The 24,297-nt window shown below is 34.0% G+C and overlaps 1 protein-coding gene and 1 long non-coding RNA gene across 7 annotated transcripts in view; one reads left to right on the top strand and one right to left on the bottom strand.

Moving 5' to 3' along the window:
* PCDH9 (protocadherin 9) overlaps positions 1 to 24,297 on the top strand; it is a 927,503-nt gene that overhangs the window by 216,748 nt on the left and 686,458 nt on the right. The window lies entirely within an intron of this gene.
* On the bottom strand, positions 11,589 to 22,703 carry PCDH9-AS4 (PCDH9 antisense RNA 4). Its single transcript, NR_046637.1, has 3 exons — positions 22,490 to 22,703; positions 17,308 to 17,367; positions 11,589 to 11,743 (listed from the first exon to the last, which is right to left on the bottom strand). It is a non-coding gene; the product is annotated as a PCDH9 antisense RNA 4 (long non-coding RNA).

Here is a 24,297-nt window from a genome sequence, read left to right as displayed (position 1 = left end):
TATTTAAATAAAGCATTGTGTTATAATTATAGTGTATAAAAATCAAAAATTTAATTGACATCCAGGTGCTTATATCATTGAAAATAATCAGAGATATGGATAAAAAATTATGCATGCAGCTGTTTACCACAGATAGGTGGTTAAATAAATCTACATCCAGAAGATGAAATCATGATTTTTAAAAATTTAACATTCAATGATATAGGATAAAATGTTTATGTCATAAAGTTAACAAAAAATAGGATATAAAAGTATGATCCATATTTCAGGAAGGGGAAATATGTGTAGGATTGTGTGTGTGTGTGTGTGTGTGTGTGTGTGTGTTACATTAAAAAACAAGTATATGTTTAGGATATGGCCTCGAAAAACTGTAACAGGATTTTAGCACTGGTTATTTCTGAGTGGTGATTTCATGGGTGATTTATGTTTTTCCAATACATTCACCTAGATACTCTAAAATTTTTACAGTGACCATGTTATCACTTTTCTAATCATAGAAATGTTATTAATAAAAAAGACTACTATATGATCACAGCTATAATTTTGTTATGCCACAATTTTTATGGAACACACACACACATGCACACATTGACACATTGTCTGAGTCTTAAATGAGTACAGTGACTTCACCTAGTAATTGGGCCTAATTATCTCCATGAGGTCTGAGAAGAGTGCTCTTTTCTCCAAGATGTCTAATGCCAGCCAATTTACACTTAGGTCCGCTACAATTGATCTTCTGGGCCTTTTATAATATAGTAACACTTCGGAATTTTCGCTACAGTGTGACTCTTTAATCGTTTTACATAAAAAAGGAAATATTTGTCTATTTTGAGTGTTTTAGCGTTAACTATTTGATTTAGTTGGAGGAGAGGAGGGCAGGAACCATCCCAATTATGGGGGCAGAAGCTGGATGAGTCAGAGGCTGTCTCTTCTGTTCATGAAATGGAAAAAAATGCGACTCACTAACCATTCAACGTATTTGTAGTCTTGCTGTTCATTAGTCCATTAATAGTATTAACTGGGTGGAACAATGATTCAGAATTTTCTTATCAGTGTTCATTCATCAGGAAAAATCTTGAGGTCCCACCATTTATTTTGTTTTTGTTGTTTTTTCTTTCTTTCTTGCATCAATGAAAAGTTAGACAAAGTAATTCAATATTGTTGGTAATAACTTACTTGTTGTGCCTTGAAAAAGAATGTAAATCACCAGAGAAAACATGATGGCCAGGTTTACTCTTACTTTTTCTCTCTCTTTCTCTCACACATACACACACGTGCACATTATTAAAATACAAAATATATTTTATAATTTTTATAATTTATAAGGTTACATTTATTGAATTTCTAATAGTTTAATATTCTATTCAACAAGTAACAATAGAATCACTGTTTAAAAATCTTTTAAAATCGATTCTTTCAAAGTTGGTTCTTTGAATAAAACATTAAAGAAACCGTAGAATGATTTCAGATTTGCCAAAGAAGGAAAGAAAAAGGAAGAAAGGAAGGAAGGCAGGAAGCAAGTGAAGAAAAGGAAAGAAGTTACTGCTCTACATAGGATACTCTATTCAAGGCGAGGTCATGTATTTAACTTTAGTTTCATGATTTAACTGATAATTGAAATGAAATGTGTTCTCTTTATAAAGCTATAAAGAAGAGTGCTGTTTTTGCTGAGTAAAAGAAAGATGAATTTCAAAATAGGTGCTTCATTATTTGGGAGGACAGGTTTACTGATATTAGTAGCGACCTAGTCATATTTTCAAGGAACAAGTGATCTAAATGTGAACATCCCCTTCAAGACCAAAACATTTTTGCAGGATAATTTTAAGAAAAGCAGCCTACAATATTCAGCTCTCCAACCATCATGCATGACTCACTCCAAATAGGTTATTTAATCTGTTAGTACTGTTATGTTTAATTTGATTAGTCTTTTTGACACTTCTCTAATTAAAAATGAAATGCCTCAGGTCCTATTACAACGTTCTAGTGATGTTTCATATGGGACACAGTCTCTTGCATTACTGTGATGGGTAGGTGCTGTACAGAAGATATTTCATTTTTGGCATACGAATAATACTCCTCAGTAGTAGAGTGACTGCTAAGGTATTAATTTAACAGATATCTAATGAAAAGCATTCTGGCAAATTTCCCATCTCCCAAGATTAAAATAAAATAGTTTTATTTTAGAAAAGTGGTAATTATTTTAGTTCATCTTCATGATATGCAGTTGGTAAAATGCATTTAATAAATGATAAATTTGTAATTCACTATTTGAATAATGTTTTTGTTCTGTTAGAATTTAGACTATAAATGCAGGATATAGACACATATTTTTCTGTTTCCTGATGTTTACGTTGAATGTAGTGTGTGCCTAATAAGTACTGGGGGGGTGACAGTTCCGTAAGTAAATATTTGACATTACTTTATCATAGAGTTGATGTAAATAACATCATGATTAAAAGGGGCAATACAAATGATATATGAAGAAAAAATGTGGCACTATATTTAATAGAGTCAGAATTTGTAAGTTATTGCCACCATGTCATACATATGTCTTCATTTCCTTTTTCTGTAGTTTTACATTGATGTAGGAAATTGTATTACTCACTTTTAAGTCATATGAATATAGTGATAAATATCACAATGTCTGTGAAATTCTTTTGAATCCATAGAAGGGTAACTGGCAGAAAAATAGAACTAAATATCTAATCTTTCTACTTCAGAAAAATGGAAGTCAAATAATCCAACATTTTACTTTACCCACTAGTTTCTACCTCCCATCGATGGTGGCTAATCTGAATTTGAATTACTTTTCTTTAAATTATTAATAGTAAAGGTCCAGTTGTAATGTAAATATGTCCTGAGGTGTATTTTTGTCATCAAGGACAAGAAATCACTGCAGGAGTCCAGAATTGTCATGAATTGGGCAATGCATACATAACTAAGGAAAAGAGTATGGCAAATAGAACAGAATAAACTAGTAATAGAAGATCCTAGGACTAATAGGACATTCATCAAATAATAGCCATCATCAAAATCTGTTAGCTGGCATGTATCAGTCTGAAAGCTATAAAAATGACATTGGAGATCTCTTGACTTCCAAGTATACCTGTTTGTGCTGTTGTGCTGTAGCTAAGTGAAGTTAGCTTCCTGCCTAACAGGCTTTTATAGGCAATAGAGAGAAGAAAAATGATTGAAAGGATTTCCCCACTGTGAGGCACCCACCGTGCCTCAACATAATGGATTACAGCTGCTAATTTACCTGATTAGGTAAATTAAAGTTAAGGCTTTGGAGTCCTGTAGTTGGGGGTTTGAATCCGTGTTCTATACTAGCTGGGGACTTTAAGGAACTTATCAACATTTCTAGGTTCAGTTTTATCTTAAAACAACAACCACTCCAACAATAATAGTAGTTAATTTTAGGGAAAAATTGAGGTTAGATCATATTAATATGTGTAAACCTCTTAGCACAGTACCTGCCCATTAGTCAGTCTTCAATAAATATAAGCTTTTATTTTTATAGTTATTTTAATTAACTTGATTAACTTGCTCTTCACATTTCCTGAACATCAGTTAATTAGCAGATATGTAGTTTGGTAAAGTGACATCCAAAAGGATTTTATATTTGGACTCTTTAGAGACAGTCACATGCTCCTTACATTTTAAGGCTGGTAGGACATTTCTTTATTAAATATAAAAATTCCAATGTATAGTGTTTACTATGTGATCTGTTGCATGTCTTTGTTTTATTGATAATAACTATATTGTATTTAATACATTCAACACTAAAAGCAAAAAAAAACTTAACTAAATGCGAAGTATTTTTAAAAAGAGAACTAGTAGCAATGCAAGGCAGTTAACCATCAATAAAAAAAGAGTTAGATCCGTTTAGTAAATAAATAAATGGTCTTGAGAGTCAACGATGGGTGGAATCTGCTGTGGGAGAGAAACAAATGCAGAGTGAGGGCTAAATCTCCTGACTAAATAAGGAGTACAGACCAGAGAAGGCACAGAAATGAAAAAGAATTTAACATACTTGGAGATCAATTAAAAATCCTAGATGCTTGATTCAGGGGAGGATTTAGGCTTTTTGTGACTTGAGGCTTATATATTTGTAGAGCTCTCTTTAAAGAAAAGAATACAAATTATAAGGACTTTGAAGAGGCCTGTACAAATGAGGGGACTTGCAACTTTTGTGTCAATTTCCCAATAAACCCACCTCTATCTAGCAAAAGAAATTTGCACTAAGTACAGTGAGATAAGTAGGGTGAAATTATGAACAGCTCTGAAATCTGGAAGAGGAGTTTGCAACTGTGTGTTAGAATTGCGCTTCTCAATGTACAGTCCCATCATCAGACTCATATACAAGCTTGTTGGGAAGGCAAATTCTAGAGCCCAACACTAAATTTTCTGATTCAGAAACTCTGAGACCAGTAGCCTGCGTTTTAACGAGGCCCTAAGTTGGTTGAGATGAACGCTAATGTTTGGTAATCACTGTGTAGAAGGTTAGGCTCTGAGCTGCTATAATGAAGATGTTTGGTAATAAATAAAAAAATATAAAAATAAAAATAAAATAGTTTTGTTTTAGAAAAGTAGGAATTATTTTAGTGCATCTTTATTACATACAGTTGATAGAATGTGTTTAATAAGTGATAAACTTGTGATTCAATATTTTAATGTTCTTGTTCTATGAGAATTTAGACTGTAAGTTCAGGATATACTCCATCAATGAAAGGAGTTTAGGTGCACCGTGGGTATTCAGAATTGGCTAGATTAGAAGCGGATAGGCAAGTGATGATTCTCTTACATTGATAGGTATACAATGAATATAAGAAAATATGTAAGTAAAAAGGAATTGACCAGATATAATTGCTACATGTTGAGTAGAAGGAGAGGGTTTATTTAAGATGAGTCTAGGCTTCCAGACTTCTTTTTGGACAGTAGAAGAGAAAGTAAGAAGAGGTGATTTGATGCAGGGTAAAGATAATATTGGTGGATGGAGAAAGTATAGAAAATTCTGTTTTGAATATGCTGACTCTTATTTATCACTGAGGGATATCTATGTAAAAAGTCTATAGTAGCCAGTGGGGTAAAGAGGACTGGAATTTGTTGCCAGGACTGAAAATATAGAGTCAGCATATTTCCCGAATAACAATAAAACAAAACAATATATAATTACATACAGTCTTCACCTCACAAAATATAAACCAACAGTTTTATAGATTGTGTACTAGCTGATTTCTCCTTGCCTAAATTGTTTACATAGAAAAGAAATGTGATACAGTTCTTTTCCCAGTGGGTAGCTAGTACTTAGAAGAAATTCCACTGTTAGTTATAGTGCTTTTTACTCTCCAGTAACTTTGAATAGGCTCTAGCAATTTTAACTGCTAAAAAGAATGTAAACAATAACAAAGGATTTGTTGAGAACTTTTCATTATTTTGTTCCATATTATTATGTTTTTTCTTATTCTCTTATTCCAAATCTATGCAACTGTATCTGACACTGATGAGAAATTATTCTAAGTTTAATAAAATGTATGTGAGCTTTTGCAGTATATATATAATAAATATATTTGTGTTTCATGAAGGATGCTAATATGAATGATAAAGTAAGCTTCAATTTGAAGCCTTCCCATTGAATACAATCACAGAGGACCAGAAGCATTTTCCATGTACCAGTTGTTCTAAAAGTAGTGAGATATTTTCACTTTATGTTTTTCATGAGGTAAAGTTGATATATTCACGAATACCCCAACCACTCTCAAATTCAGGAAAGACACCTGGAGAAAAGTGTTAACCATATGCACAAGGACTCAGAGATGCATCAGTCCTGGGATTTGTTCACACAAATTGTTGATCAGCACTTGTCAAAATGAGGAACACGGAAACAAAAGTGGACATTACCTGCACGCACATGAGGATTCTTATTCAAATTCCAATATATACACGGCCTGAATATACAATATGGTTCACAACTTTTTGCTGAATGAGTGAATTTAAGTTATTTCTTACTCCTCTATATCCCATGCTCCCATAATGTTTTCAATTATGCCACAAATAACTGATGCAGAAGAATTTTAAAGCCAACTGAATACCATTTTACTAATAACTTTTACATTTTGTTATTAAATTTATATTTTAAAATTAAATATTAAAAACCCCTCAGAAACCCACTGTCTTAATATGTTTTAACTCTTCTTTCAGTCTTATACTCATACATAAATGTATTAACAGATTTACTATCTTCCTATATGGAACCTATTTGTGTTTTTTTACTCAAAATTTTATCTTTTAATACTTATAAATTTTTTTACATTTTTACAATTTTTTTGGTGGCTGTACAATATTCAATACCATGACATTGAACCAATGTTCTGAAATATTTTTAGCTATTTCAACCCTTAAACACTGGTGTTTTGGAAGTTTTGGAGAATAGCTCTTTCTACTGTTGCATACTTAGGAAAATTTTCCAGAAAAAAAAAATTCAGAATAAGTTTTGATACTCTTTGGAGTTTTTCAAGGTAATATGTTCACACGCTGGTAGTAATGTTGAAGCATTAGTATATGCAAATACTTTGGATGTTGACATTGGAGGACAAATTAGGCTTAGATCAATTTCCGTTCTTTAAAAAAGTATTTTCCTTTTGAAATTACATCATTTCCCTTTAAAATGGAATTCTATGTTTGCAAAAATATTTGAAGTTGTATTTTCCTTTAAATGTATAAATAAGTTATGAAATTGTAATGAAGTCATTATTATAAATAAGTCACTTATATCTTATTGAAATAAATACTATATAGCTATATATTAGATCTAATAATCAAATATGATATTAAATATAGTAATGTTCACTACATAACAGGAGCTAAACAAATGAAAATTACATCCAAATAAGTACTCCCAAAGAGACACTTTTAGAATAAATGACCTTAATTCAACTTAAACAGCTAAAACATCTCTGTGTTTTTAATATATCCCTTCGCCAATCTGCTTTCTTCTTCTAGGTCATTGAGTTCTAAGTTATGGTCCAAGGACCTGTGTGAAAGGGACTGCAGAAAATCGCCAGGGATATGACTACAAATACTTATTTCCAGATCTAACCAACCAAATCTTTAGGGATTGAGACTTGGCAATCAGTATTTTTGATACATTATTCGGGTAATTCTGATAATTTCAGCCAAGATTCAGAACCAATGACCTAGATTATCACAGAAGCCTCTTCCATTTCTATTCCGGTTTTGTATTTTATACATTCCTGCACAATCTATCCTCCATGTTTCAAATTCTTTTAGGTCTTGGACTTAGGGTGTTATAACAATATTTCTCCTTATAAGATCCAATTTTTTTGTTTGTTTGTTTGTTTTGAGACGGAGTCTCTCTCTGTCGCCCAGGCTGGAGTGCAGTGGCACGATCTCCGCTCACTGCAAGCTGCGCCTCCCGGGTTCACGCCATTCTCCTGCCTCAGCCTCCCGAGTAGCTGGGACTACAGGTGCCTGCCGCCAGGCCCGACTAATTTTTTTGTATATTTAATGGAGACGGGGTTTCACCGTGTTAGCCAGGATGGTCTCAGTCTCCTGACCTCGTGATCTGCCCGCCTTGGCCTCCCAAAGTGCTGGGATTACAGGCGTGAGCCGCCGCGCCTGGCCTATAAGATCCAATTTTTATACTGTTATGTAATGATGCCTACCACAGCTTTTTAGATTAGTCATCTAAAAAGGCCATTCTGTCTAAGGCCATTCTGGCTATAGGGCAGGACTAAATACCTATGAAATAAGCAGAATTATGTTATTAAAAGAATATCAAAACACCCTACTCATACTTTGCTCTCACGGAGAAAATGCAATCATCATCTGTTACCTAGCTAAATGCATTTCTTTACTTTGGAAATTAGAAATAAGCATATTATTTGTGGAAGATATTTAAAATGTATGCATTGCCATTATTATGGTTTAATTTAGTATAATTGCTGCTGTAGGATTCACAAGGACCTTAAGATGAGTTTACTGGCAAGGATAGGGGATGTCAAACATAGTGAGCATACACGGAATATTTGGGGAAAGTGAAAGGTATTCCTAACGTTTTAAAGTATGAGTGTGTGTGCATTTTTGTGTTTCTGTGTGAGGGGAATGAGTTCTAATGACAAAGTAATAAGTATTATCTGAAATTGTTGCATAGAAAATCCTACTTAGTTCTATTTTTATATAGTAAGTTGCTAGCCCAGCAAACTTACCTAAATCTTCAAAATGAGTGGCCAATTATTTAAAGCGAACTCAAATAGTAAAAGAAAATCCCCTGACTTCACCAAACAACTTCTCTTCCCTACTCCTCTTCCTACAACTTTTTTTTTTTAAAGAGATCAGAGTTTTGGGAATGGGACTCTTCTATTCAATCAATGGGGAAAGCAAATGGATGTTCCCATATGCAGAAATGTCCGTGATTCTGCTTGCCTTAATTTTTGAATATTCCTCTCCTCTACTGATAGTTTTTAATAGAAAACACTTGGAACACAGTATCTGTTCTCTTTCTCCTATCCTGCTCTTTACAAAGGAGACTTAAGTTTTATATCAGCTAAATTACAGAGAGGAGGAAAAAGATCCCAAAAATAATTTGGAAAGGAATATTTATTGCTAGGTGGACCACTTCAAAATAGTCCCCTTTCTTCCTTAGAGAAAAATTTAAAGATTGCTTGGACAATGCTGATAATAATAGCTAAAGCATTTATTTATTATTATTTGTCAGGAGTAACAAGAGGCTTAAATAAAATATCTCATTTAATCATTCCCCAAATCCCATAAATTTGATACTATTTCTTTATCTACTTTCTGCCAAGAAAACTGAAACACAATTCAAGAAACATTTCCAAACTCACACATTTTCCCAAGTGAAAAAAGCTGGATTCCAACCTGGACTCCATGGAAGCCCATACTGTATTGCTTACTGCCAAATTTTTAAAACATATTGATTTTGAAATATGTTATAACAAAAATGAATGCTATACATTTCTTTCTTTCTTTCTTTCTTTCTTTTTTTTTTTTTTTGAGACGGAGTCTCTGTCACCCAGGCTGGAGTGCAATGGCACAATCTCGGCTCGCTGCAACTTCTGCCTCCCGGGTTCAAGCGATTCTCTGAGTAGCTGGGACTACAGGTGCCCACAACCATGCCTGGCTAATTTTTGGATTTTTAGTGGAGACAGGGTTTCACCTTGTTGGCCAGGCTGGTCTCGAACTCCTGACCTCAGGTGATCCACCTGGCTCGGCCTCCCAAAATGCTGGGATTACAGGTGCGAGCCAACACAACTGTCCTATAAATTTCTTTTTTAAAAAACTTTAAGAAGCCAATATTTTGTGGGAATATTTTAAAGGAATCTGATAATTAATGTATCATATTGTGAAAAGTCAGGCTTTTAACCATATGTTTGCACTAAGCAAATGTATATAACAAAAAAAAAAAGTTAATTTTTACCTCTGTGACCGAATCCCTTCTAGTAAATAAATCAGAGTCCTGATAACACCACACTACATAATAGGGATGTTTTTCACAGGCATTTTTCTCTTCTCAGTTTCTCAAAGAACTTCATCAAAACTAATGGGACTATAGAGAAGATTTATCAGAGGCTCGGTCAGGTCTGTTACATTTCCCCTGCACATGGGAACGGGCACATCCATCTGCCTTCCCTAGAGACTAGCAGGATACAGAACTCGTGACAGATATACCTTTTAAGGAGACTATTTTTTAAAATAAAGGCTTTTTCTTCCTGTGCTATCTCTAATAACGAGGAGCAATCATTAAAAGCGTTCCTGTAAAGCGTTATTTAATTTTGTAGTTATAATGAATAGACTAGAGAGTAAAACATCTTGAGTGTATCATGAGTAATTTCGCAGTGGGGACAGGCTCTTTGGCAGTGCACAAAGTAATAAAATTCCTGCTTCATACTATATTGGTTCTCTTTTCATCTTCATTTAAGTTGTTGGATGTGATGTTTCCAGGTACATTCAAAGTCCCGAAATGCTAAATCTATCTAATAATATGTGTATCCATCAAGGGTTGATTAATATTAAGAAACATATCTTGTGTAGATATCCTCACATAGAATAAAAGAGTGAAATGCGAAAGTAAACTTGTACCATTATAATTCCTTAAAACAATGTGATAACAATACATGTTAATAATAAACATACTATGGAATAAGGAGAGGAATCTTTTTTTTCTTTTTTACCATTACTTAAAGTTGTCAAAGCCCAATTCAAAGGGCCAGAATGTATTTTTATATATATAAAATGGCTTTTTAGTAATCAAATAAGACCTTTGTTGCAAGGAAGTTATTTGTAAAGTCGCTTTTGACATATAACATAATACTTTCATCAGTATGTTTGCTCTGTACAATGAATTTCTAAATCATATACACTTACCATGTATGTGTATGTATATGTGTATACAATTACAATTGTGAGAAAGCTCCTTAAATAAACCAGGTCAACCAGTTTGATTGGGAGACTGAGGAAAATGGGTCTGGTAAAGGTCAAGGTGGTTTCATAAACCGATTAGTGGCTCCATTAACATCATCTCTAAATTTGACTTCTACATTTAACATTAAAAACAAACAAATTAAAAAAAAGCCTCCATGTACACACAGGGAGTACAGAAAGGCCCAAGACATAGATGGCTGAAAATGAAAAAAAAATACTAGTAATTGCTGTTAAAGAACCATAAAATAAAAGAACTAGATCAGATAGCCTGATAATTAATGGACTGGTCAATATGTCCCATTTTGAACACAATTTATTATATTTTTAAATTAGAGACAAAAATACCAAAATAAAACTGTTAATTAAAAGTAGAGTTGGATGGCAAATTTACAGGAAAAAAAGAAGTTCATAGAAGATTAAATTCTCAGGAAGAATAACTTTATTTCGGTGAAAGTTAAGTTCTGAGAAATTAGATTTAGCACATCAGTACTGTTTGGAAACAAAACAGAGATCATTATTGATCTCTAAAAATTGGTGAGGGTTTTTTTTTATCTTCTTAAAAAAGAGAAATGAGAAATGTAAATATTTAATTCTTAGACTCTTGATTAATTGTAAAATTAATTTTAAAACAGAATAGTGACTTTTAGGACAGACTTAATAAATTTAAAAATTCAGACAAACATATTTGATTACCATTCTAACAGTATAAAATACAATATCACGTATATGCCTAGATTATAAGCATAAGCATTTTAATATAAATTTTGAGAACTTCATTGTATCCATTTTTAAATTTGAGTTTAATTAGGAAGTTATTGACTAGCTTATGAATTTATATAAGCAGCTTTAAAATCCTTAGTAAATATCTGTTTAATAGTGAGGTTATTGACATAGCAAATTAAATTTTTAATAATAAATATTTTTCTTCATAATTACTCTGCTTTCTATATTTTAACAATTAATGGTGTGGCTTTACATAAAACCAAATATTTTGAATCTTTTAAAATTTTCACCCCAAGGAAATCTGAAGATAAAGACATTCTACAAGAGAATCTAACTAGCTTACTTCTTATATAACTAGTGTGGCTGTAACTCTTTCTGAAAACAAGGAGCACATTTCTTGGTACTATTTCACATAATCAATATTTATTTAAGAAGTGATTCAATACAGTGGAAACCCGCATTTTTGGACAAGAACTGTGAGGAAACATCAATAAGCTGAAAATCTTCCTGATCATGACTAAATTCTTACAAGTTTTCTGCCGTGTAGTTACCTGTACTGGGAGAAATTAAAACAAGGCAAGAAAGAAGTAAAAGCTAAAGAAGCCTAATATAGCTAATATATCCAAGTTTGGGAGTGACAAAGATGGTCTCCTCAAGGTTCTGCTCTTAAGCGGGGTACCTGGGATTCACTGTTACCTTGGGGGACTCTGCCGTCCCCTCTGCCCCACTAAGCGTACACAGCCCCGTCTGTTCCTGCTGTTTCTTAGATCCCATGTTGCCCTCTCTCTCTCTTTCAGTCACAGCCAAACAACACTGGTCCTAATTAAACCAAGGGGATTGACATTCTCTCCTAGGTACTTAGAATGCTGTACCAAGAGCATTCTCAGACCATGCCAGCCAGGGAACAAGCCACTGCTTTTCCCTTATTGGGATTTCTCTCTACCCTTGTTTTCTAAGTAGTGAGAAATTAACAAACTAAAACTTGGGATTCCCTGCAGCATGGCATAGCTCCCTATTCTTGCCCCTTTACAACCGGTGACATCATTTTCAAGGACATAATTCTTAAAACTCTCAAGACACAATTTTTAAGTGTTGAGTTCAGTTTTAAAATCAGTTTGCTGTTTTACATTAAATACTAATTAATGTGGTCAATAGAAGCACAATAACTATATTTGAATCGTAATCCAAACATCAAATCTCCACTTTTATTTATGTATGTTGTTATAAAAACAAGCTTATCGGCTCTCTAGTTGGAAAATAAACATTTGAATCAGACACACTTACTTCTGTATCGAACTTATTAGCTATGTGACTTTGGCAAGATAGTTTGCCTTTCTAAAGTCTTGGTTTAATCTTTTGTGAAATGTGGGTAGTTGTAATTGCTATTCCTCATCTACCATTTTGTAAATAAATACTTAGAAAACTGACAGGCCCATAGTACGTATTTGATAAATGCAAGTCAAAAACTACCAATAAAGATTTTCTATAAATGACTTTAGCACTTTAAAAGGATCAGGAAAGTAATATTTTAAAACAGAAGAAAATATTTTGCTATTTGTCTCTTAGCTTTACACTATTTAAAAGCACTGTGAATATAATCACTTCGTCATGAATTAATCTGGAAATCCCCTTTTTAGCATGGATAGAAATTAAGAATGGTATTAGTTTCTTACTGCACAAAGAAATATTGATTCTATTATTTGTGAACTTTATTTTCCCAGAAACGTGATTGAAGAATAGGAATGATGTCAAGTTACCTATTCCTTTAATAGTTAAATATATTTAGTTTAACTGTATAAAAACTTTTTTCTTTTTTTCGAATTTTTGTAAATTTATTTTGTATCCTCCAACTTTATTGGATTTGTTTAGTAGTTTTAACAGTTTTTCTATAAAGTCTTTTTTTTATTTTATTTTATTATTATTATACTTTAAGTTTTAGGGTACATGTGCACAATGTGCAGGTTAGTTACATATGTATACATGTGCCATGCTGGTGTGCTGCACCCATTAACTCGTCATTTAGCATTAGGTGTATCTCCTAGTGCTATCCCTCCCCCCTCCCCCACCCCACAACAGTCCCCAGAGTGTGATGTTCCCCTTCCTGTGTCCACGTGTTCTCATTGTTCAATTCCCACCTATGAGTGAGAATATGCAGTGTTTGGTTTTTTGTCCCTGCGATAGTTTACTGAAAATGATGATTTCCAATTTCATCCATGTCCCTACAAAGGACATGAACTCATCATTTTTTATGGCTGCATAGTATTCCATGGTGTATATGTGCCACATTTTCTTAATCCAGCCTATCATTGTTGGACATTTGGGTTGGTTCCAAATCTTTGCTATTGTGAATAGTGCCGCAATAAACATACGTGTGCATGTGTCTTTATAGCGGCATGATTTATAGCCCTTTGGGTATATACCCAGTAATGGGATGGCTGGGTCAAATGGTATTTCTAGTTCTAGATCCCTGAGGAATCGCCACACTGACTTCCACAATGGTTGAACTAGTTTACAGTCCCACCAACAGTGTAGTGTTCCTATTTCTCCACATCCTCTCTCCAGCACCTGTTGTTTCCTGACTTTTTAATGATTGCCATTCTAACTGGTGTGAGATGGTATCTCATTGTGGTTTTGATTTGCATTTCTCTGATGGCCAGTGATGGTGAGCATTTTTTCATGTGTCTTTTGGCTGCATAAATGTCTTCTTTTGAGAAGTGTCTGTTCATGTCCTTCACCCACTTTTTGATGGGGTTGTTTGTTTTTTTCTTGTAAATTTGTTTGAGTTCATTGTAGATTCTGGATATTAGCCCTTTGTCAGATGAGTAGGTTGTGAAAATTTTCTCCCATTTTGTAGGTTGCCTGTTCACTCTGATGGTAGTTTCTTTTGCTGTGCAGAAGCTCTTTAGTTTAATTAAACTAAAAACTTTTTTCTTAAACAGTTAAATATATTTAGTTTAATGGTATAAAAACTAATTATATTTAGTTTAAAAATTCAAAGAACATAGAACCTTGAAGTATAGTCCTTAGAACTATAATTGGGTTTGCTCCTCTTCCTTCACTTCTTTTTTTAAGGGATCTTCCTTTTCTACTGTCATCTATTATCAATATTTCTACTATTTGCTGCTGACTGAAACCTGTATCTCAACTTTGCCTGACATTTCAGGCTGTATTAATTGAATTTAGATATTAAATGACATTTTAACTGGGCCTTGAAGTGTAAGTGTGTGTTTGTGAGACTGAGGACAAATGAATAACATGCACAATCTGAGCAAAGGCAGAGAGATAGGCAAGAACCCAATTTGCTTGGGAAGCAAGACGTTCTAAAGGATGATTGGCTAGGGAAATGGCTGTTATTACAGGATGGACAGAAGGTTGATTTTGATGGCAAAGGACTCTGAGCATTTCAAAGGAATTTATGGTTTATCTTGGGTTATATTTGCAGTTGATAACAATTGACTGAAGTATTTTGTTGCTCTTTATTTAATTTTTTTAATTGAGCCTTAATAATATGACATTTTGTGGCGCTTTCATTGTGTAGAGACTTCATGGGCAGCATTAGAAAGAATGAATTGAAGAACAACAAGGAATAAAGGAAAGAAGAACAATTAGAATTTAATTACAACAGTCTGAGTGGAAGATTGATGAGAAACTGAACTGATAATTGAGTGTAAGGGCTGGTTATAGGAGACATTGCAGAGACAACTGGCAGGAATGTGTGAGTAGAAGTGGACCTGGCTAACTATGAGGAAGAGGGAGAAGTCAACGATGCCTGAATTATGTTTTCCTTAATTTTGGCAACTGCTGAGATGAAAACTTTGTTTCTTTCACCAACTAAGTAAAAAGGGGAAGAGGAAGTTTGAAGAAGTAAGGGAGATGTATAGGTTTAATTTGGGAATATATTGATCTGAGTGACACAGACACACACACACTCAGGTTGGAATCACAATAGGAAGTAGGATTGTGAGAGTACAGAACTCAGAAGAGTGAGCAGAGCTATAGACAGATATTTTAAAACTACTAGCTAATTGGCATGTGTGGTAGTTGAAGACCCATTTATGGAGTTTCCCAAGGAACAACTCTATTGGTTGACACATTGCTATTAATTTTCTTCAATTCCAAGAACTCCTTAAACCAACAATCTCCAGATTATCATCTCCTTGCTATTCCTGCCCTCTTCTAATCTCCTTGATTTGTTCCTCGGGCCCTGGCACATTCTCTTCTCACTTGTGGACACTGTTGCCACTCTCTAAACTGGATTAATCATTATTTACCCTGAAGGCCCCAGTGGGTGTCCAATTTAGATAATTCTTCATATAAAATTTTCTCATATCACTTTGCACTCTCATTGTATAATATCAAAAATCACAATCTGCATCTACATATCTTTATGATTGCATTGTGAGTGCTAAGAGAATTAAACAAACAAACAAACACAAACTGACAGGTTTCATCCTCTATTCTAGTGTTTCATGTAACCTGGCCCAGAATTTTTATTTTTTCTTTCTTTTCATCCTGATATGGTTTGGTTGTTTTGTTCCCTCTAAATCTCATGTTGAAATATGACCTCCAGTCCAGGCGCGGTGGCTCATGCCTGTAATCCCAGCTCTTTGGGAGGCCAAGGCAGGCGGATCACGAGGTCAGGGGATCGAGACCAGCCTGGCCAACATGGTGAAACCCCGTCTCTACTAAAAATACAAAAATTAGCTAGGCATGGTGATGTGCGCCCGTAGTCCCAGCTACTCGGGAGGCTGAGGCAGGAGAATGGCTTGAAGCCGGGAGGCGGAGTTTGCAGTGAGCCAAGATTGTGCCACTTCACTCCAGCCTGGGCAACAGAGTGAGACTCCGTCTCAGAAACAAAACAAAACAAAACAAAACAAAACAAAACAAAACAAAACAGACCTCCAGTGTTGGTGACGAGCCTAATGGGTGGTGTCTGGGTCATGGGAGTGCATCTCTCATGAATGGCTTGGTGCTGTCCTCCTGGTAATGAGTTCTCCCTCTATGAGTTCACATAGGATTTGGTTGCTTAAAAGAGCCTGGCACCTTCTCCCTCCCTTTCTTGCTCCTGCCCTTGCCATGTGATATGCTGGCTTCCCTTCACCTTCTGTTATAATTGTAAATTTCCTGAGGCCCTCACCAGAAGTAGATGCCAGACCATGCTTCCTGTCCAGCCTGTAGAACCATGAGCCAGATAAGCCTCTTTTCTTTATGAATTACCCAGCCTCAGGTATTCGTTTATAGCAATGCAAATGAACGAACACACTTCCTAAATAAAAGATTCCATGAATGAATGGATAAGTTTCTTTTGGATATAGCCCAGTTTTCAAGTTCCAATATGATAATATTACCTTAAGTCTGTGTTATCTCTTGAAAGGGGTATTTAGGAGTCTAATAATCACCTCCCACATTTCCAGTGTCTTTCATATCTAATCAAACTTAACCACCACTTCAAAGCACAATGCTATTCCTGTCAACAACTCTTTTTCTCTGTTCTTTTCTTCCTTGATGCTAAAAACTTAGTTTTCAATTCTATACTGAATTTTCTATAAAAATCCTTTAATTTTGCATTTGGAGTAAGGTCTCCACCTAACTTGTTAGCTTTTTCTTTTACGATTCTGCAAGAAACCAGACACTTACTAGCCAAACAGTACTATTCACATTTAGACACATTCATTCAGGGATTTCATAATACTATCAGTTTACTTGTACATTTATTCAGTAAACATTTTTGTGTGCTTACTGTATGTCAGTTTGGTACTAGGCACTGAGCATACACATAAACTTAATTTATAATGTTGATGCTATTTCCTTTCTTGAAACACTCTCACACTAGCAATGCTTATTAAAATTCTTCACATATCAAATTACTTATTCTTTAACAATTAAATTTATTTAGTTTAAAAGTTGAAAGAATGTAGTAGAATCTTTTTTCAAATATCTCTTTCTCTGTGAGGCCTACCTCACCCACCCTAATTAAAACTATAATCACTCATTCCCAGCATGAAGAACTCAGAATCCCAACTATCCTGTGCTTTTTCTTTTTTTTTTAAACACTAATGTTCTAACATGTCATATAACATATTTATTACTGTGTATTGAATATTACTTGTCTGTACTCACTAGAATACAAGCTTCACAAGGGCAGAGAGTGGTGACTATTCACCAATGTACTCCAACTACCTGGAAAAATAGTAACATTCAATAAAATGTCCCGCTGGTAAGATATTCTCTTAATGAAACCTCTTCTGAGAACCCAAGCTTCAGTTTACATAGCACTTTCCTTGTGCCTCTCAGATAAGACAGAACATTTTCCTTTACTGTATCTTCCCATTAAATACAAAGCTCTGCAAGACTAGACAGTGTTGTTCACATATTTGTATCTTCTGGAGAGTTTAGCCCATCAGCCGAATTAATTGCAAATAATTATTGAAAAAAAATAAATGAAGTTAATACAATAATTCATAGTATACAGAGAAAATAATCTGTATCATTTTTCAAATATTGTGACCCAGTTGGGTCTAAGTAAATTATTGTTTTCTTCATTTAGGTTCTTTTAGTTTGAATTCAGTATATCAGAGGATTTTTAGACAGCAGTAATGCAGATGATATGTTCTCTCTGAACTGCTCGAGTATATTTGATATACATAATTTTTCAATCTTTTTATAGAATGAGATTGAGGTTTGCCTGAAAGAAGAAAAGCTCAAGAAGCAGTAGTCTTTGCTACAGGAAGACACACTATAACAGATGTTCTTTTCTTTTTTTATAGTCACAGAAAACCATCTTAACTTTGTGAAATTAAAGGGTAGAACTGACACAAACATGGAACAATTCTAACTTCCTAACCCAACCTCAAAACTTAGGGTTTGAAAATTGGTTACAGCTGTTCCTTTCTGTTTCTTAGGGTTTTGTTGTTGTTACTGTTGTTTTTTTCCCTTAGTGGTGGACACTTTTATGCACCAGCACTCAAGCAGAGTCTCTCACTGCAGGTGCATTTACCATTTGGGGACCGTGCTGCCCTTGTTTTGTTAGCCTCAGCATTTTTAAAAACCTCACTTCGCCCGTGGTGCTTGTGAATATATCACTGTCCACCTCTTTTGCCTTTTGTATTTACCGTGTCTTATGCTTCAGCCTTTCCGATGCCCTTGAGAAGCCATAACCATGCTTTACATTTGAAAGAGTGCCAGCTCATTTAATCAGGCTGAGTTTGAGAGGCATGGATGAATTTATTCTATCTAACATTTAATAAAAAATAATTTAAAAATGTGACTTATGCCATGACATGCTTAGCATTACCCTTCCGGGTTTAAATTTGAGAGCTGTCAGCACCCTCCGTGGTCTGGAAACTGACATGTTATCAATCAAGTGCGTGGGTGACAAGGCCGCTGATGTCCTCCCAAGGCTCTTGTTTAATAATTAATTTTTCATTGCAGGCATGTTCCGTAAATGGATTACAAAACTTAAGCCCGTTTAAAAGGTTTTAGAAATTCATTATTAGTTTTAAAAGATGAATGCACAAATTAACTATCCATGATAGATGAGGCATACCAAATATAGCCAGGTCCTATGTGGTTTTGGCTTATATTTATATATAGCGTAGAGTAGGGTAAAAAGTCAGTACAGTTTTATAGAGAATGTCACTGAAGCACCGAGGAAGTGATTCTTTCAAAGGAGACTCAAAAAAGGAGATCAGATGACAAAATTGTGCTTTGAACATTTTCATCTTTTCTGTTGCTCTCAGAAGTCCCCAGCCATCTAGCCTCTGGACAGGCTCAGCTCTATTTCTGGAGTCAGTACCTCAGCTTGTTTTTACCACAGAATAATATTATGATTTAGAATGAAAGAATTCTTATCAGTTATCACATCTTAATTTCCTTAATTCAACGTCAGTGCCAGTTTTTAAGCTGTTATCTTTCAGCTCCAAACCCACCAGCTTTGTGATTCCCCGGGCTAGTCTCAGCGCTCTGCATATCCGCTTTGCCATCTGGCTTCTTAATAAGTTTGGCCAGTAGGGCACGCTAGAGGGAGACCGAATGGCGGGGTGAGGGGAGCTACTGCGTCCGGCTTTGCAGGCCGTTCCTTTCAGGGTTGCCGCAGCAATGGCACTTCATCCTGGCAGCAGCCATTTGCTGGTTGCAGTGCCAGTTTCTTGGTTTCTTTTTTGCATTCCTGGAATCAGTTTCATCACTCTCTCTTGGAGTTACCAAGAGTCGCCAGTCAGTTTCCTCTCCGTGGAAGGCTGAGTCCCAATTCCATAGGGCTCTGTGCCAGACTTTTAGTCTCTGATAACTCCGAAATCCTTCCTTCTGTTTCCTAAGCTCTACAGGTATTCTAGTTTTTCTCGCAATTTTTCATTACTAGGCTACATCAGTGTCCTTTTTCTTTCTTTCTTTTTCTCACTTTTTATTTGTACCTTTAGTCCTCCAACAATTAACAATTCCCCATGTTAAATTCTCTCTGTTTAAACAACTAACGGGCTCTCTGTATTCCAACTAGATCTCGGCTGATGCAAATGCCGTAGACAATCAATCGATCAATCAATCAGCAAATCCAATTTCCCTCTAGCCACTAAAGGGACTTAATATAATTGAATGATTATAGAATTCTGATCCCATTTATCTCAAGCCATTGAAAATATTTTTCGTGTGATTATAAGATACGTAATTTTAAAAAATGATTTTCTAAATCAGGATTCTTACCAGATTATTTCACAGCTTATTCACTCATTGATTGCTTTCCTCCCACCCTTGTTAGCTTTTGTATGCCTGTCCTGCATTTTAAACCAAGGTATGAGGAGGATAAAGTAAATAGTAAATGGTATGATAGTGGCCAAAACTTTGAATCTTTTTCCCTATTCATCATCTTTGTGCAAGTTGGTAGGGAGGTCCACTAATTCAGCCTCCCCATTCCCTGTCCCTTCAAAGTAAATCAGAAGCTTCAGGTAAAAAGCAGAGAAGCTACCCAAGTTCTTTTCATTTATTTTATCATCATACTAATAATTTTGCTTTCTGAAATGATTACTCTTACAAGCAGCAAATATATTTTTTAGGAAGTTAGAATTATTGATGTCACGTTTTCATATTCAGTATCCCAAGTAAATATCAGGTAAATTCAGGAAAATAAATACAACCATTTTCTTGGTTAATTGTTTTTAAATTTAATATATGTTCATTTATTCTTTTAAATATATATTTCATAAATGGTGACTATGTATTCCATGACATAAAAACTAAGTATTTTTAGTGGGAAATTCTTTGTGGAATCACTGAAATGATAACTAGTGTTAGCAATACTTCTGTTTCATGAGACGAGTCACTTTATGAAGATTGCAAATTATTTTTTGTCCCCTCTAGAGTTCATTTCATGGGAAATTTAAATTTTATTGTCTTAACTTTAATGTTAAACATTTCCTTCACATATGGTATGGCCAGACATGTTTTCTTCTTTGCTGCTATTTTACATTTTAGATGTAGTCCATTCAGGATCTTTTTTTTTTTTTTTAGGAGTCAGAGCTTGAAGTGACGCAACACTTTCACTCTTTATCTCTGATTTACATGCTAATAAAGACAACTGATAGACAATATGATATACTTTGGCCCTAGAAGATCCTTAATGAGGAAATTCTGTGGCCTGTTTTCTCTTCTGTGCTATTTTTTGTCTTCTAAGGCAGGCATTTTTATCAGTTCAGTTTGTTGCTGTGACTAGTTCAAACTTGTTCAGGGCTTTATGCCTGAAATAAGTAATCAATTAGCCTATATATATAAATATATAACCAACCATTACAATTATCTAAGAATGTCAGGGAGTTGTGAAGTGGAAACAAATTAAAGAGTTGCAAAATTAAAAGAGCTCGTCTTCCAACAGAAGTGTGCTGACATATATTAAAGAATAAATGAATTAAAGTCACCAAAGAGGAACAGGAGTTAAAAAGAAGACCATTGTTTAGATGGAGTCAGGCTGGTGCACTGCCAAGGAAAGCAAACAGGATTTCTGAAGGCTTGGTATGAATTTCAGCTTGCATCATTCCGCTGGAGGGGGTGATTTCCCCAATATCATGTTAGATCCATAGCTTGTTCTTGACAGAGTGGCAGTACCTTTCCTCCACTGCACTCTCACCACTAGCATAGATGTAAAACACAGTAAGTACTCAGAAACTACTTGAAGAGTGCAGTTATCAGTAGAGATGATCGAAACATTTGTTTTTCTAGGGAATATCTTTGCCTTTCTTCTTCCAGAATCCTCTGGTTATAATGTGCTCACTGCTAGGTCACCAGTCATAAAACATTATGTAGAGGTTACTGGTCATTATCCTAATATATTTATCAAAAAATCTGGAGTATATGAAACTGCCTTTCATTGTAACATTAGACAAAAACATTTATTCTATCAAATACAGACTTAAAACTGCCACCAAATTGGAAGAATATGATCTTAAATTTAAAAAAAACCCATATACTTAAACACAATAATCTATCTTTATCTACCTTCCTAAACATTAATGCATGAGACTTCTCTTAATATCATGAATATGCACTATGATTTTTATGTTACATCTTTTTCTTGTTTCCATTTATGCTAGTGAAATTTATTAGTATCCTTCATTGAAACACTATTATTTTCCATGGAGGAAAATATTTTATTTCCTTTATGAAAAGGGTGCTTTACTTCTGAAATACAGAATTCATTTTGTTTCGGATTCTGTTTGTTTGTTTTCACATCAACTTCATTCTAAATGTTCATTCAAAATTATTTTTCAGACTTGAGTTCAGGTGAAAATGTTAATGGAATTAAAAAGTAGTTAGTCAAATGAAATTTCAATATATAAGTCAAATTTGAAGAAAACTGAATTAATAAAGGATTCTAAGTTTATAAAGAAATCAAAATTATGCTTTCAAAAATATTATGTAACTGGAGAAAGTAATTTTATTTTGAGATCTCTCATGATTCTTTAATATATATTTTTTCTTATTAGTATGCAACCTTTTGGTAACATATATAGGAGACAGTTAATTTTGGTAAGACTACATAATTCATACATTCTTCATCTTGACATACATGATCAAATACTTTATAACGTCCACTAGCCTTGCTCTTGTCCACTGCAATGGAAAAAAAAAATGTGTCTCATCTACTCTTCTCTATTTATAGTTTTTAGATAGTAATGGATTGATCTTACAAAATTGGGTTTACACCTGCTGATGTCTTGGAGCTCCCTCTTAATCCTGTCATATATAGAGATAAGTTATGCACTGTTGACAGATTCAGGACACTGTATCACAGAAAAATAACAAGAAAATATATTACCGACTCTGGTCCAGATGAGATGTGTAACTGGCAAGTTGGAGTCAAGGACGTATTTTTTTCTAAAAACCCGCTAATATTAAAAATATATTCAGATGAGCCTTCTGGAAAAGAAAATTAACATTAAACAATAATAAGGAAACCAAACTTGAGAGATAATGCCCAGGTCCCATTTTCATGGATATTTTATGTAATAAGCGTATTGTTGACTAGAAAAAGTTATCTGTTATAAACAACATGGAGCATTTTTGTCAAAGTTTGGATAAGTAGGAGTTGGAAGATGGAAATATATTGATTATCTGCTGGATGATGATTACATCAAATTAAGTAAACATAAATATTATTATTACTAGAAATTCAGTGTGGAAACATCTACTTTACCCTCTTCAGAGATGTGAATTTTTGAAGTGAGAAATTGCTATCAATTGTGCTTGTCACTGAATTATATATATATGTATATTTATGTATACATGTTTTTATATATATGTGTTTATATGTATATATTTGTTTTATATATGTGTATATATGTTTTTATATATAAAAGAATATACATATTCTGTATATATGAGTATATACAAGAATATGATATACTAATGATATATTCTTTTACATATAAAAAAGAATATGATATATTAAGCAAATGTAAGAACCTAACCTATATGTATATGTATATGTATCTTCTTACATTTGCTTAATATATTCTTTTAGAGTATGAAAAATGTTATATTCTTTTGAGCAAAGGAAAGAGAGGGAGATGATGAACTGTATTAACAAGTACTGTCACTCAAGTTTTCACCAATCCAGGCATAGCTAATGCTTGGAGTTTGTTGCTTATAATTGTTTAAAATATTCCAAGTTGTAGAACTTTATTCTGTTTAGCACTCAAGATATAAAGACATACAAGATGATTATTTAGGCTTCATCCAGTTTAGCCTTTAGATTAATGGGGTCATTCACTGGACTATTATTAAAATTTGCTAAGGCTTTAAAAATTTTGCAGATAATTACAGAAAAACAAAACGAAGAAACCCAAAACATTTTTTCTTCCATCTTAAATATCTTTGTTAGTTACAAAGAGTTAATGATACATTTATTATACTGCTATGCACTGAAAATTTTGTTATCAGTCTTTGAAATGTGCTGTTACAGAGTGCTTATTTGTTTCTTCTAAGAAAATGGCCTAGGCACTTAGCAGAATAGTAATTCTTAATTGTTCTACAGTGCAGGTAAAAATGCTGTTAGTGTGAGGAAATATACCTTTTTGTTCAATTTTTTATGTTCCCGTTTTGCTAATACCTCACCCTGTTCTTTAATATTCTCTGAGAGTCTGAGGAAGTGGCTGCTATACCAAGTGCATATTCAATTAGACATTCTGTCACATAAAGTGAGAATGTAAATTTTAACAATAATTTAGATATCTAAAATAATTCACAAGTACACAGGATCGTTAGTTCATTATTCATGAATAAAGTGATTTAGAGCTGAAGCTGAGATGAAAGTCTTCCTGGTAAAGAGGTTGAGTGAAAAAAAGACTTGGGATCATGGAGTAATTTCATAAAGTGCTATTTCTACAATCAGGAAGTGACATTCATTACTTGATAAAATTAGTTGAGGAATACATTTTATTCTGTTTCTCAAATAATTGTATTTGTATGAGCATAGGAAGCAAATCGTTGGAAAGATGAAATTAAATTTTAGTACATTTAATGGCTACAATCTCTGTGTGAAGGAACTTTTCTATTCCTAATAGTGATGTGACTTTCTAACTTCATAAGGTCATTTGGGATTTTGGTGGGCCAGATGTGGAAAAT

Source organism: Homo sapiens, chromosome 13, assembly GCF_000001405.40.
Source record: "Homo sapiens chromosome 13, GRCh38.p14 Primary Assembly".
Lineage (NCBI taxonomy): Eukaryota > Metazoa > Chordata > Mammalia > Primates > Hominidae > Homo > Homo sapiens.
This window is presented reverse-complemented; position numbering and strand designations above follow the sequence as displayed.